Source organism: Homo sapiens, chromosome 3, assembly GCF_000001405.40.
Source record: "Homo sapiens chromosome 3, GRCh38.p14 Primary Assembly".
In the NCBI taxonomy this organism is placed as follows: Eukaryota; Metazoa; Chordata; class Mammalia; order Primates; family Hominidae; genus Homo; species Homo sapiens.
This window is the reverse complement of record NC_000003.12, coordinates 180,623,054-180,638,709: the sequence shown is the minus strand read 5'-3', so window position 1 is coordinate 180,638,709 and position 15,656 is coordinate 180,623,054. Positions and strand designations below refer to the sequence as shown.

Below are 15,656 nucleotides of genomic sequence, written 5' to 3'. Positions count from 1 at the left end.
ATTTTCCCCTTCCTAAAGAGTAAGACTTTTAGCATCTCTTACCTCTTCTTTTCCTTTTCCCATCTTTCACATATTGTTGAAATACTGATTATAGTCTCTTGCTATTGTTTTTAATATTATGTCTTTACTTTTTTAAAAACTTCTTCATGTGCATTAAGCTGTGGATCCAAATGTCAGCAATAATTTAAAATTACGTATGTGTTTTGTTTCTTGATTTAATGGTTTTTTCATGTATCCCTTGTCATCATTCTATTTTCTTGGATTTCATTTCATTTTTTGGAGTATGATTTTGAATTTGTTTTGTCGAACTGATGTTTTCTGAAACTTTGCAGTCCTTGCATGTTTAATACATATATTTATTCTCCCTTAAACTTGAATGACAGAACATTGTAAAACATTGTTTCATATTCTGCTAGATTACAGTGTTGTTTATGAGAAGTCTGATTACAGATTAATGAAATTTATTTTGTAGGGAAACTGGGCTTTGTTTGTTTTCTTTCTGGAAGCTTTGGGACACTCTCTTTATCCTTGGTGTTTTATAATTTTCTTGTATGTGTCTGGGCATTTTGTCATTTTAAAGTTTCTCTTGCTTGACCCTTCCTGGAGCTCTTTCAGTTTTAAAAATTTTTTTATCTTTGGTTCAGGGGTACATGTGCAGGTTTGTTATACAGGTAAACTTGTGTCATGGGGGTTTGTTATACAGATTATTTCATTACCCAGCTACTAATCCTAGTACCCAATAGTTATTTTTTCTGTTTTTATCCCTCCTTTCACCCTCCACCCACCAACAGGTCCCAATGTCCATTGTTTTCCTCTTTGTGTCCATGAGTTATCATTTAGCTCCCACTTATAAGTGAGAACATGCAGTGTTTGGTTTTCTGTTCCTGCATTAGTTTGCTAAGGATAATGGCCTCCAGCTCCATCCACGTTCCCATGAAACACAAGATCTTATTCTTTTTTATGGCTGCATTGTATTCCATGGTGTATATATGGCACATTTTTTAAATCTAATCTGTCATTGATGGGTGTTTAGGTTGATTCCATGTCTTTGCTACTGTGAATAGTGCTACAATGAACATTTGTGCACATGTGTCTTTATGGTAGAGTGACTTATATTCCTTTGGGTATATACCCGGTAATGGGATTTCTGGGTTGAATGATACTTCTGTTTTTACTTTCTTGAGGAATCACCACATAGCTTTCCACAATGGCTGAACTAATTTACATTCCCACCAATATTGTATAAGAATTCCTTTTTCTCTGCAACCTCACCAGCATCTGTTATTTTATTTTATTTTATTTGACTTTAATGGCAGCCATTCTGACTGGTGTGAGATGGTATCTCGTTGTGGTTTTGATTTGCATTTTTCTAAAGATCTATTGAGCTTTTTTTCATATGCTTTTTGGCACATGCATGTCTCCTTTTGAAAAGTTTTCATGTCCTTTGCTCACTTTTTAATATGGTTGTATTTTTTCTTATAAATTTGTTTAAGTTCCTTATAGATGTTGGATATTAGACCTTTATCAGATGCAGAGTTTGCAAAAATTTTCTCCCATTTTGTAGGTTGTCTGTTTTCTCTGTTGATAGTTTACTTTGCCGTGCAGAAGCTCTTCAGTTTTAATTAGATCCCATTTATCACTTTTTGTTTTTGCTGTGATTGCTTTTGGCATCTTCATCATGAAATCTTTGCCCTTTCCTCTGTCCAGAATAATATTGCCTAGGTTGTCTTCTGGGTTTTTATAGTTTTGAGTATTACATTTAAATATTTAATCCATCTTGAGTTGATTTTTATATGTGGTATAAGAAAGGGGTCCAGTTTCAATCTTCTGCATATGGCTAGCAAGTTATCCCAGCACCATGTATTGAATAGCGAGTCCATTCCCCACTGATAGTTTTTCTCAGTTTTGTTAAAGATGAGATGGTGGTAGGGATGCAGCCTGATTTCTGGGCTCTCCTGTTGCATTGGTCTGTATGTCTGTTTTTGTACCAGTACCATGTTGTTTTGATTACTGTAGCCCTGTAGTGTACTTCGAAGTTGGGTAACGTGATGCCTCAAGCTTTGTTATTTTTGTTTAGGACTGCCTTGGCTATTCAGACTCTTTTTTGGTTCCATATGAATTTTAAAATAGTTTTTTTCTAGTTCTATAAAAATGTCATTGGTAGTTTGACAGAAATAACATTGAATCTGTAAATTGCTTTGGGCAGTATGGCCATTTTAACATTGATTCTTCCTATCCATGAGAAATCAGTTTTCTGCTGATTTCCTTGAACAGTGTTTTGTAATTCTCATTGTAGAGATCTTTCACCTCCCTGGTTAGCTGTATTCCTAGGTATTTTATTCTTTTTGTGTTAATTGTGTAATGGGATTGCGTTCCTGATTTGGCTATTGGCTTGGCTGTTATTGGTGTATAGGAATGCTAGTAATTTTTATACGTTGATTTTGTATCCTGAAACTTTGCTGAAGTTGTCTATCAGCTGAAGCAGCTTTTGGGCTGAGACTATGGGGTTTTCTAGATATAGAATCATATCATCTGCAAACAAGGATAGTTTGACTTCCTCTCTTCCTATTTAGATGCTCTTTATTTCATTCTCTTGCCTACTGCTCTGTCCAGGACTTCCAATACTATGTTGACTAAGAGTGACGAGAGAGGGCATCCTTGTCTTATGCTGGTTTTCAAGAGGAATGCTTCCAGCTTTTCCCCATTTACTATCATGTTGGCTGTGGGTTTGTCATAGATGGCTTTTATTATTTTGAGGTATGTTCCTTCAACGCCTAATTTACTGAGAATTTTTAACATGAAGAGGAGTTGACTTTTATCAAAAGCCTTTTATAGATCTATTAAGATAATCATGTTATTTTTGTCTTTAGTTCTGTTTATGTGATGAATCAGATTTATTGATTTGTGTATGTTGAGCCACGACAGCTTGCACCATGCACCTTGAAAAGCCGCAGGTACTCAATATCAGCCTGTGAAGGCAGCCACAGGGGCTATACCCTAAAAAGCCACAGGGGCAGAGCTACCCAAAGCCTTGGGAGCCCACCCCATGTATCAGTGTGCCCTGGATGTGAGACATGGAGTAAAAGGAGATTATTCTGGAGCTTTAAGGAGTGCCCTGCCAGGTTTTGGACTTGCATAGAGCCTGTGGCCCCTCTGTTTTGGCCAACTTCTCCAATTTGGAACAGGAACATTTACCCAATGCCTGTACCCCCATTGTATCTTGGAAGCAACTCGTTTTTTATTTTACAGGCTCATAGGCGGAAGGGACTTGCTTTGTCTCAGATGAGACTTTGGACTTGGACTTTTGAGTTAATGCTGGAGTGAGCTAAGACTTTGGGGGGATTATTGGGAAAGTATGATTGGTTTTGAAATGTGAGGACATGAGATTTGGGAGGCACTAGGGGCAGAATATGGTTTGGCTCTGTGTCCCCACCCAAGTCTCATCTACAATTGTAATCTCATGTCGAGGGAGGGACCTGGTGGGAAGTAATGGATGTTGGTGGTGGTTTCCCCAATGCTGTTCTTGTGAGTGAGTGAGTTCTCATGAGATCTGATGGTTTAAAAATGTCTCTTGCTTTCTCCTGCTGCCTTGTAAAGATGCTGCTTCCCCCTTGCCTTCCATCATGATTCATGATTATATGTTTCCAGAGGCCTCCCCAGACATGTGGAACTGTGAGTCAATTAAATCTCTTTTATTGCAAATTATCCAGTCTCAGGTAGTATCTTTATAGCAGTTTGAAAATGGACTAATTAAATGGTTATTCCTTTAACTGTGGTGTAGACTGAGTACAGTCAACAGATTTCTTTTCTGGATGTTTTCATAGGGCCAAGGCTTTGTGTGGGGTCTTTATTTGTAGCTGACTTCTTATCTTTGGTTTCACAGGGGTATATGTTAGGAAGTTATTTTTGGTGTTGAAGCTTTGGGGTGTGATCCAGTAGGTGGTGCTTAGGTGTAGTGGTCAGTAGGTAGGCTCTTGCTTGGCTGTGTGGCTGCTCTATATTTCCTCACAGTCATGCTCTCTCTCAGTGCTCTGTAAGTGGGGGCTGCTCTCTCACCTGAGTGCTGGCTGTAGATCACGGCTTGGTGCTACTGGGCTGCCCACCACAGCTCTGGGGTGATCTCAGGGTTTATGTTTCTTTCCCAACTTGGAGGCAGCTGAATAAGGTACCTTAGTAGTGGTTGTGGCTGAGGGTCTTTTGTCTCCTGATGGCTTCATCCCAGAGAGGTGCAGGTCAGCAATCACTGAATGCAATAAACCCAGGATGAGGTAGTCTGTGCTATGGGCCCAATCTGGGGACACCCTACCTGGTGATGAGCAGTGGGTGTTTATGTGATCCATGGGAGATGGACTGGCTTCCTCTCCTTGGGTGGATTGCAGCTTGTTGCAAATACGGATGAGGCACTTAGGGTCTCTGCTCCTTGGTTAATCTGAGGATAGCTGGGGTAGTACCACTGCAGAGCCAGTGGCAGAAGCTTTTGGTTGCCTCTGACGGCTCTACCTCTGAGAAACATTTAGCTGCTGTTACTGGTAGTGTTCAGCTGGTGGGGTGGGGTGGGGTGGGGTGGCTGTACTGCTGGTGTGAGCTTGTGGCTTGCTGGGGAGCAAGGAGTTAAGGGAGTCAGGAGAAGAGAGTGGTTGTCTTCTCTGCATGGTGACTGTAGTGTGCTGTAAGCTCAGGCATAGTCCTCAGGCTGTTTTTTCCCCAAATCAAGGGCAGCAGGGATAGAACTGCTGCTGTGGTCGTGGCAGAGGGGCTATCATGTGCCTCTGGGAGCCTCTGCAGGACACTCCAGGCCACTACCAGTGGGTATGCTCAGCCATGGGTGGAGCAACTGTTCTGTGGTCACGGGCTGGGGCCCCTGCCTGGTGAAGAGTCAGGGGATAGGGGTTCCCAGGGAAGAGGGGCTGAACTCCTTTCTGTATGGTCTATTTTAGTTATTTCATTCAAGTCTTCCTTTGGGTCAGGAGAATATTTTTCTATTTAATTTTTTTCTTACCATCATACTCTCCTGTTTTCTCCATTTGTTGCTCATTTTTACTAGATGTTGGCCCTTTTAGGTCTGTCCTCCAGGTTTCTTTTTTCTACTTGTATTTTACTTTCTCAGATATTCTTTATCTCTCTCTCCCTATTCCCCTCTCCTCTGCCTAATCTCCCCCCTTGTCTCTCTCTCCAGATTGCTCATTAAATCTTTATTCTTCACTGCTCTTACATTGAAGAAGAAAACTTATTTGCAAGCACTGTTATTCTTTCATTAGTCCTTTATTTTCATAGCAGCCCATCTTGTTTTATGGGTGTTTTTGGAATCAATATCCTCTTCTCTTTTAGATGGTACTAATTAGAAGACTGAACATTGTCTTCTATGCATTATGTGTCAGGTCTGTTCTTTGTTCATTTTTGCCATTTGCTTTCCATAAATGTTTAATGGTCCTTTGTTAATATTTATTAATGAATGCTTATTAATCGGTGGATATTGGTAGCTAACTGGTAAGGGTTTCCTCTGCAATTAAGTGGATCTCTGGTTTTCTCCAACAGATCGCTCCTCTAAATGGGAGGGCTGATTGTAGGCTCGTGCTAGTTTGTCCTGTAAAGAGCGTAATAGCTATTAAGCAGGGTTAGGATTTCATGGTTACAAAAAGTTAGGAGGTGTTTATTTTGAGTGATGAAGACTTTATCTCATTCCTAAGTAGAACTGCCTTTCTTTTTCATTTACTTCCACTGTCATGTTTTTACCTCTTTCTCTAGCTTCAACATACATGCTAGGAACTGTGGTAATTTTTTGGTTATCATTGGAGCAGAAAGCATTCCTGACATTTCTGTATGTTTTGAGGGGTTGAGGGGAATGGCCCAGAGTTGTTGATTATAGCCTCACAGATCACTCTTGTTCTTTTTCTTGTTTCTGAGTTTGGATTTTTTTCAGACTTCTTTGGTGGAAAATGGCTCCTGCTTCTGCAGTGGTCTTCCGTGTGTGTCTATTTTTTTTCCGTTAATCTTACCCCATCTGTTTTCCATGAATTCATGAAAAATTATTGTACCTTTCTGATTCTCAGAACTGCTATGTTGCTGTTTTTTTTAATCTTTTTTTATTTTAGAAAGGAAGAGTAATATACTGTGCTTGGTCCACAATCTTGAAGTCCAGCAAGTTTTTATGATCACATAAAGGATGAGTAAATATTTTCTGAGGAAATGAGTGATAATTAAAAATAAGAAAAACTGTAACTTATGACACTAAATATATCTTACCATGAGTTTTCTCTAGCAGTAGAAAAACTGGTAGGTTGAGGATTTCTTTTTCACCATGGTTAGAGAGCTTACTTGCATGAGTTTGTAGCAGGCAGTTGAGGCACTCTCCATATTGCCAGGCATATATTAAGATTACTAGTATTAAGTTCTAAAAAATAGCTCATAAAATATAAATTTACTGAAATAAAAGGAGAAAGTAACCAACAGATTTAAGAATCTGAATTCTGGAAGACAATTCTCAACCGCCCTGTTTGGACTATCTTTTTAAAGACGTTTGAATAGCAAACAGCCTCAGAAACTAGAGGTAGTATCTCCTTCTGGAGCAAAAGTTAGGCATGTTTGCTTATTTCCCACTATAAAATATTTGGGTTACCTAGGCTTGAGATTCCTCAGCTGTGATGCAAATCTACTGTTTGCAGCATCCACTTGAGCCCCTTCTTGCTCCCATGGGATGTAGGGAGCAAGGGGAGCCAGTCAAACAGGAATCTTATGCTTCTTGCTGTGTCATGAGAAATAAAGTCCGTTGTCTCTGAAACAGGGATTGTGTCTTCTGCCAGCAAAAGACACAATGAAACTGTGGCAGGCTAACTTGTCAGCTTTCAAGTAGGGTAAATATCAGATCCTTCACACTGAATTATTAAATTAAAACGTGAGAACAAATTTAATCTGTTTGAGTTTAGTAGTTACACAAATCCAAATGTCTTCAATAAGAACACCTGATAGTCTTTTTATTAAATTAAAACGTGAGAACAAATTTAACCTGTTTGAGTTTAGTAGTAACACAAATCCAAATGTCTTCAATAAGAACACTTGATAGTCCTTTAAAAATTGTAAAGTATGTTATTCATTTCTCAGTGTTTCTTTTTCTTATTAGCACTGAGTTTCGCGAGCGGCTAAGTAAAATTGAGAAGCTGAAGAATAGATATGAAATTCTGACTGTTGTTATGCTGCCTCCTGAAGGAGAAGAGGAGAAAACACAGGCCTATTATGTAATAAAGGTAATTTTAATTGATTCACAGTTGTGATGGTATGAAATTTTCTTTGTTAACTCATTCATCATAATCCTCTGAATTTAAATAAAAAAACAACAATATTGCAACTTTCCCTCCATGAAATCTAGCAACTATTTCACTTAATTAGGGCCACTATTACACTTAACAAAGGCCAAAACATTCATTCCTAAATGGAGATACTGAAAGCAGTATTCATTCTATATACCTCTAGTCCGTGAGGTCAAGCACTGCCCTCTGATTCCCAAAACTTACTGTGAACTTGCTCCAGAAGTCTTCCTCTTTTGAGTTCAGGTCATTCTACTTGACCATTCTTTGACACTTTTTTCTTTTTGCTATTATTTGCAGAATGTCATTTCTCCTAGGCAAGATTCGTAATCTTTTTAAGACCTATTATCACTCTAAGTGTCTTTGGTATGCATGTGACAACCTGTTCAACAATTGAGGCTTAAAGCTTTCCTTTACTTCACTATAGCCACCCACTCTTATGCCACACCCTGGCTGGACCTTAGCATTTCTTGGAGCTACACCACCTCTGAATTTTAAACTCCAGTTTACCATTAGAGTCCTGGTATGGCAGCTGTTCAGAGAGGAAGAGGGCTGCTTCCCTGCCCATATATCCCTATAATATGATATTATAGGGAGACAGACCAGGTGAATCTGTTTTTTTCTGATGTTTGACAGTTGTCTGTCATCCCATGGTTATCTTTAACCCAAAGGGGAAATTCATTAAGTGATGTGGAATTGAATGCTATTCTCTAAGCACTGCTATATTCATCTTTCCCATGTAGAAAATACCCTGAACAGGAGTAATTTCCTTTACAGAAAGGTCTAGGAAATTACTCAAAATGCTACAAACAAGGGATGGAACTTGTAACTTTGACTCACTTCCCTGTACCATACATGAATAGGGGTGAGATCATCTTCCAGTTCACACCTTCAGAGAATGGCTCTTGTGGATGCTCTCTCCCTTTGATTTCTACCAACTTAATTGGCCAAATTTTCTCCTGTAGCTCTTCTTCAAATCTGCCCCTAACAAATGCAGCAAGTATGGTATGCCTGTCACTTTGCTTGAAATTCTGCCTTCCCTATGAGAAATCAGTCCCAGCTCTCAAAACTTTCTTATAACTTGTCAGTCTGTAATACCTCAGGCTTCTGCCCAAACAGGACTTTTCTCCTCTCAGGTTTTAAAAGTTCCTGAAGGATAAAGGGTAGGCTCTAATTTTTTAGGTATTGGGAAATCGGAAGATGTTGCAATTCCAATTAAGTTTCTCTAACAAGTGGTGTGATGGGTTACCTAAAAGTACTGGTGTTAAGTGTGCCTTCATCCATATCCTACCACTGCTTCGGTAGGTGACCAGGAATAAGTTACTTAACCATGTGAGGCCTAAGTTTCCTCACTTGGAAAATGAAGAGGGTAATATTGTTACTTTTGTTGGGAGAAAAGAGAAAATACATGTAAAGCCCTTGGGACGGTGGCTGGCACAAAATGAGTCCTCAATAAATGTTAGTTATTATTATTACTGTGATGATGCTGATTAACCTAACTCACAGGAACACAGACAAGTTTTATATGAAGAAAGAATATTCCTTCTGTTTACAGTGAAAGTGCTGGATAAATATCAGAATAATGATTATGCTAAATGAACTGAGGCTATCAGTTACTTTCTCAATGTCCTGATGCCATATTTCTTATCTTCCATCTTCTCTGGGATCCACAGCTTGCCACGCAGTTATTCCCATTTTTTGTTGTTGTTGTTGTATAGCATGTTTACACTTTTTACTGGTAACACTTCACAAGTCTCAGATGTGTAAAAATGAAACTTAAATAATAACTAAACTCAGTCTAGCTTATATCAGGAAAAATTATGGCCTGAAAAATAGAGAAAAGCAAACCATGGGTGCAATGATGCCAGTGCATGGTGATACCAAGGTGTTGGCATTTTCTAGTGGGCCCTCCAGGTATTATCTGATTCTATAGGAGTGCAGACCTTCGACTCTCTATTGACTAGTTTATTTTACAACTCTGTAGGTATAGATGATAACTAACTTGCAGACAACTGATAGTAACGTAAGTGATATCTTGCTGCTAACAATGTAAATGAATTTTGGCCAGTAGAAATACAACTCTGCTCTGTAGAAAAGATAACCCAAGCACTGAAGTTTATTACACTAAAATATATTAATATGTTTTGCATCTACCAGCAAATTCATGTCAGCATTTCTGATTCAACATGTCTATAATATAAAATCTGTTTTCATATTCTTCTTTGAAATAAGTCTAAATATCTTACTGGCTCTTCATTAACAAGTTGAGTAAAACCTTTAATAAAAGTTCATTTCATATTTGTATAAGAATTTTTAACTATTTGAAAATAGTACCTTGGCATTTTCACTGCTGGGACAAACCTTGCCAATTAGAAGTTAAGTTTTGTTTTTTCAATGTAAGTCTGTTTTCCAACGTAGTGGATTCTGTTTGTTGATGTAGTAGATTTAGGATTTAAATTTAGTCAGTTCAAAATTTTTTCCCTTCCCTTATTCTTCTTATGTTATCTACAAAGGGATCTCTCCTGATGGATACATATATTATGTTTATGGCTGTGGGTAATAGGAATTTGATTACAATGCTAACCACTGTTGTGTTTTCTGAATGTTGTGGATGAGGCCTCAGCAAACTATGCACTCCAGCCAAATGCTGCCCACCACTTGTTTTGTAAGTAAGTACTGGAAGACAAAATACATACACTTATTCATTTATATATTGTTTATGGCTGCTTACATGCTACAATGACAGAATGAAGTAGTTTCGACAGACTGAATGGCCCATAAAGTCTAATTACTATTTGGCCCTTTACAGACAAAGCTTGTTGACCCTTTTTATTAGTTTCTAGGGCTGCTGTAACAAAATACAATAAACTAGATGGTTTAAACAACAGAAATATATGTCTCAGGCCAGGTGCAGTAGCTCACGCCTGTAATCCCAGAATTTTGGGAGGCCGAGGTGGGTGGATCACGAGGTCAGGAGATCGAGACCATCCTGGCTAACATGGTGAAACCCCATCTCTACTAAAAATACAAAAAATTAGCCGGGTGTGGTGGTGGGCACCTGTAGTCCCAGCTCCTCGGGAGGCTGAGGCAGAATGGCATGAACCCAGGAGGCGGAGCTTGCAGTGAGCCAAGATTGCACCACTGCACTCTAGCCTGGGCGACAGAGTGAGACTCCGTCTCAAAAAAAAGGAAATATATATCTGATACATCTGGAGTCTAGAAGTCCAAGATGAAGGTGTTGATAGGGTTGGTTTCCTCTGAAGGCTATGAAGAATAACCTGTTCTATGCCTCTCTCCTAGCTTCTGGTGGTCTGCTGACAATCTTTGGTGTTCCTTAGTTTGTAAATGCATCACCCTGAAATCTGCCTTCATCTTTACATGGTGTTCCTTCCTGTGTCTCTTCACACAGTTTTCCCTCTGTCCAAATTTCCCATTTTAATAAGGATACCAGTTATATCAGATTAGGACCAACCTAATGACCTCCATTTAACTTGACTATATCTGCAAAGACCCTATTTCCAAATAAGGTCACCTTCTGGGGTACCACAGGTTGGGATATCAACATATCTTCTTATAAGGGACACAGCTCAATTCATAGCTCCTGTCTTTGGTCTTGTAGTAAGCTCCTGTCTTTGGTCTTTGTTCTATGGGGCATACATGGCTTTTTCATCAACTCTAGTATCTTATAATATCTAACCCTTAAAGGCCAAACTGAAAAATATAATTAGTAACCAGTGAAGGACTAGTATTTTTCAAATCTCATTTCCAAGTTCCTCTTAGTCTTTATAAGGAAACAGTATAGTTCTGACTGCAATTTAATGACACTGTCCAATTAAGTTACTTGAAAATATTGGACAGACTTTTGAGAGATATATCATCTCTGATTTAGAAGCGAATGGAATCAGAATTTTAGAACTTCAAGCTATACATGGAATTATATCAGGAATTTGCATAAAATGAACAAATTCAACTCCTTCATTTGAAAAATGAAGAAACTGACCCAGTAGTCCACAACTAAAATTTGTTTGGCTCATTCCAGCTCATTTTCCCACTATTCTTTTATATTTCAGATGAAATGGGGTTACCAATTTGAGACTCAAAGGAATTAGATATAATTTCTATAATTTTTTTGCTAAACTTTTTAAAATTATGTAATACTTATCACAAAATATGTGTAACTAATGTTCTGAAGCACGATAAAATAAATGCCAGTGAAAATGTTAAGAATGGAAATATTACTAATAAAACTTATCTTTACAATTCCCCCTGCCCTGCTGCAGGCTGCTGTGAAAGTGACACATAAGCAGACTGTACTCCCCACAGCTTCCTACCCATGTAAATCACCTGAGAGGAACCACAACCTCTCTGGCCATGGGCCCATAGCATTTTCACTGCTGGGAAAAACCTTGCCACTTAGAAGTTAATTTTTGTTTTTTCAATGTAAGTCTGTTTTTCAATGTAGTGGATTCTGTTTCTTGATGTAGTAGATTTAGGATTTTGCCATTTTGAGAATTTAACGCTGGGCTGTGCCTTGAAACACTACTGCAACTACCACCTGTCCAAGGTGGGAGAGGGGTGACCAAGCACTCCAGTGCACCCCTAAGACAATTCCCACGACCTTGCTACTGGCTGTTGTGAGACGGAGGTGTGAGAAGACTGCACTCCTCACAACTTGTTACCCACCTGAGCACCTCACCTGAGAGGAACCCTGCATTCTGGTTGCAAGGCCACAGCCAGGAGCATTTGGAGAGTTTAATGCTACACCGTGCCCCACATTTGGGCCAAGTGCAGGTTGACATTGCTGCAGCTGTCTCCGATCCAAGGAGGGAGAAAAGAGACCAGGCACTCCCATGTACTCTGGTGACGATTCCTGCTGTCCCACTATGGCTGCTGTGGGACTTCCTACAGCTTCTTACCCATGCTGTTCCACCTGAGAAAGGTTGCACCCTCCCTGGTGGCAGGCCTACAGCACAGCCACCACAGCCCATATCTGAGTATTCTGCCAGTGTCCTGGGAACCACCCCACCTTTGACTGTCACAGCCAGAACCTCCTTAAAGGTATTACCAAGGGGCCTGGGACTAGTCTGCTGGCCCAAACCCATCCCCCAAGTACTCAAGTATGCCATCCAGGGGCCCAGATATTTACTAACCCAGTGCATCACTGTTGGCACATGATCAGTCCTGCTAGAGTCTGAAGTTGGGGCAATTCAACCTACAAATACCACCACAGCTGACACCCACTCCCATGCACTACCAACAGGCCAGAGGACCAGCATGTCCAACCCATTGCAGCTACCAGCAACACCAGTATGGACCTTCTGGGTTCCAGTGAGTTGCTTTACCACCGCTACTGCCATTACCTGCATCACACCAGCTGCCCAGGGGCCTGAAAACCCGCCTGCATGTCGGGCCCACCATTCCCACTACCAACATCTGAGCAAGCTACCCAGAGGCCCAAGAATCAGCCTTCCAGGATCCACTAACACCAGTGACAGTATAAGCTACTCTCTGGCCTGAGAATAGATACACTCAGCCCACCACTGCCACCAATGGGGCCCAAAGACAGGCTTACCTGGCATCCTAGACCCCAGCAAAACTTCACCAAAGCTCAACTAATAACCATACCTTAAGTCACTGAGGAAATCACAGATACCACTGAACCTGTGTACTGCCTAAGAAATCATACAAAGACCACACTACCACAGGCACCCCACATCAAAACACCAACTACATATGTACTTCTTCAGGAGAAAATCCTCTCCTAGGAAAGCAATTTCAAAAAATTAGCAGAAGCAACTGTTACATGAGATATGCATCTATCAATGGAAGGACACAGGAACCATGAAAAAGCAAGGAAATGTGACCCACCATATAACAACTGTTCAGCAATAGATCCCACTCAAAAAGAAATCCTTGAAATGCCAGATGAAAAATTCAAAATATTGATAGAAGCTCAATTAGATGCAAGAGAAATCTGAAAACCAATATAAAGAAATCAGAAATCAATTCAGGGTATGAGCAAAAAATTCACCAAGGAGATATCTTAAAAAAAAAAAAAAAGAAAAATAGACTACACAAGCAAAAGAAAGAGTCAATAACAGACTAGACAAGCAACAGAGAGAATCTCAGACCTTGAAGACAGGTCTTTTAAAATAATCCAGTCAGACAAATTAAAAAAAAAAGAATAAAAAAGAGTGAACAAGGCCTTCAAGATGTTTGGAACTAGTAAAGTGACTGAACTTACAAATTATCAGTTATGCCTGAGGGGTAAGAGAGAGAAATAAGTTTAGAAAGCCCATTTAAGGAAATAATTGATGAAAACATCTCAAGTCTAGTAAGAGAGTTAGACGCCGAGACACAAGAGGCCCAGCAATCCCCAGGAAAATACATTTCAAAACAATACCTCATCATGGTGTATTGTAATCAGAATGTCTAAAGTCAAAGTGAAACTGCAAGAGAAAAGTTAAAATTAGCAAGAGAAAAGCATCTAGTCACCTATAAAGGAAACCCCATCAGAATAACAGCAGACTTCTCAGCAGAAATCTTATAGGACAGAAAAGAATGGGACAGAATTTTCAAAGCACTAAAAGGAAAACAAAAACAAAAACAGAACAAAATAAAACCAAAAAACACCTGTCAGCCCCCAATTTTATATCCAGCAAGAATAAGCTTCATAAAGGAAGAAGAAATACCCAGCAAAGCAAACACTAAGGGAATTCTTCACCACTAGACTGGTCCTCTAAGAAATGCTCAAAGGAGTTTTAAAATGGAAACAAAATGTCAGTATTCACCATCGTGAAAACACACAAAAGTACAGGACTCAAAGGTCTTATAAAACAAACACACAAAAGAGGAAGAGAAAGGCATCACTGGCAACATAACAGAATTCTACCAAAACACAGACGACCACACAGAGAAAAAAAAGAAATAATTTATAAACCAACTAGGTAACAGTTGAAAATATGACAGGAACAAAATCATACATATCAATATAAGTTTGAATGTAAATGGATCAAACGACCCAATTAAAACATATAGATGGTGGAATGGATAAAAAATGTGATCCAACAATATGCTGCTTATATGAAACTCACCTTATTGGAAAAGACATATATACTGAAAGTAAAGGGGTGGAAAAAGACATTCCATGGAAACCAAAAGCAAGTAGGAGTAGCTTTACTTATATTAGATAAAAGAGATATTAAATCAAAACAGTAAAAGAAGACAAAGAAGGTTATTATATAATGATAAAGGGATTACTTCTGCAAGAGGATATAACAATCCTAATTATATATGCACAACACTGCAGCACCTAGATTCATAAAACAAGCATTACCAGATTGAAATAAAGAAAGAGCAAGACAATAATGGTGGGTCAACACCCCACTGACAGCACTAGGCAGATTATCAAGACAGAAAATCAACAAAGAAACACTGGACTTAAATCGGGCTTTAGACCAAATGGACGTTAACAGACATCTACAGAACATTCTACCCAACGACTGCATAATATACCTTCTTTTCATAAGCACATGGAACATCTCCAAGACAAGCCAGAAAACAAGTCTCAAAAAAAATAAAAAAAAAAATCTTCTCAGACCACAGTGGAGTGAAAAACCGGCAATCAATGCTCAGAAAACTTTGGGCACTTTACAGATATATGGAAATTAAACAATATGCTCCTAAATGATCACTGGGTTAACAAAGAAATCAGGATGGAAATTTAAAAAAATTTTTGAAATGAATGAAAATGGATACACAACATACCAAAACCTGTGGGATAGAGCAAAAGGAATGCTAAGGGGGATGTTTATAGCATTAAATGCCTATATCAAAAATGTAGAAAGATCATCAATTAACAACCTAACACTGCACCTCAAGGAATTAGCAAAACAAGAAAAAAAACAAAACCAAACCAAAGTTAGCAGAACAAAAGCAATAACAGATCAGAAGCAAAACTAAATGAAATAGAGACAAAAAAATTTACAAATGATCAAGGAAATTAAAACTTTGTTCCTCAAATGACAAACAAAATTGATAAACTGCTAGCTAATCAAGAACAGAGATCCAAGCAAACAAAATCGGAAAACAAAAAGGAGACATTACAACTGAACTACAGAAATATGAAAGATCATCAGGGACTATACTAACTTATAAATTAGAAAACCTAGAGTAAATGGATTCCTGGAAACAGATAAATTTCTGGAAACATATAATACACCCTCCCAAGGTTGAACCAGGAAGAAACAAAAATCCCGAATAAACCGATAATATAAATAGCAAGAATGAATCCATAATAATAATAATAATAATAATAATAATAATAATAAAAATCTCCAAACAACAACAAAAAAG

At 38.8% G+C, this 15,656-nt stretch overlaps 1 protein-coding gene across 1 annotated transcript in view, besides 1 other annotated feature; it reads left to right on the top strand.

Moving 5' to 3' along the window:
* CCDC39 (coiled-coil domain 39 molecular ruler complex subunit) overlaps positions 1 to 15,656 on the top strand; it is a 65,482-nt gene that overhangs the window by 40,780 nt on the left and 9,046 nt on the right. The window contains exon 14 of the mRNA NM_181426.2: positions 7,118 to 7,241. Coding sequence (NP_852091.1) covers positions 7,118 to 7,241 — 124 coding nt within the window. The remainder of the gene's footprint in view (positions 1 to 7,117; positions 7,242 to 15,656) is intronic.
* Positions 11,543 to 11,592: a silencer, noted in NCBI's record as "silent region_14926". NCBI's record gives its function as "represses an Ori minimal core promoter by ATAC-STARR-seq in GM12878 lymphoblastoid cells {active_cell/tissue: GM12878}" and the evidence as "EXISTENCE:reporter gene assay evidence [ECO:0000049][PMID:35858748]".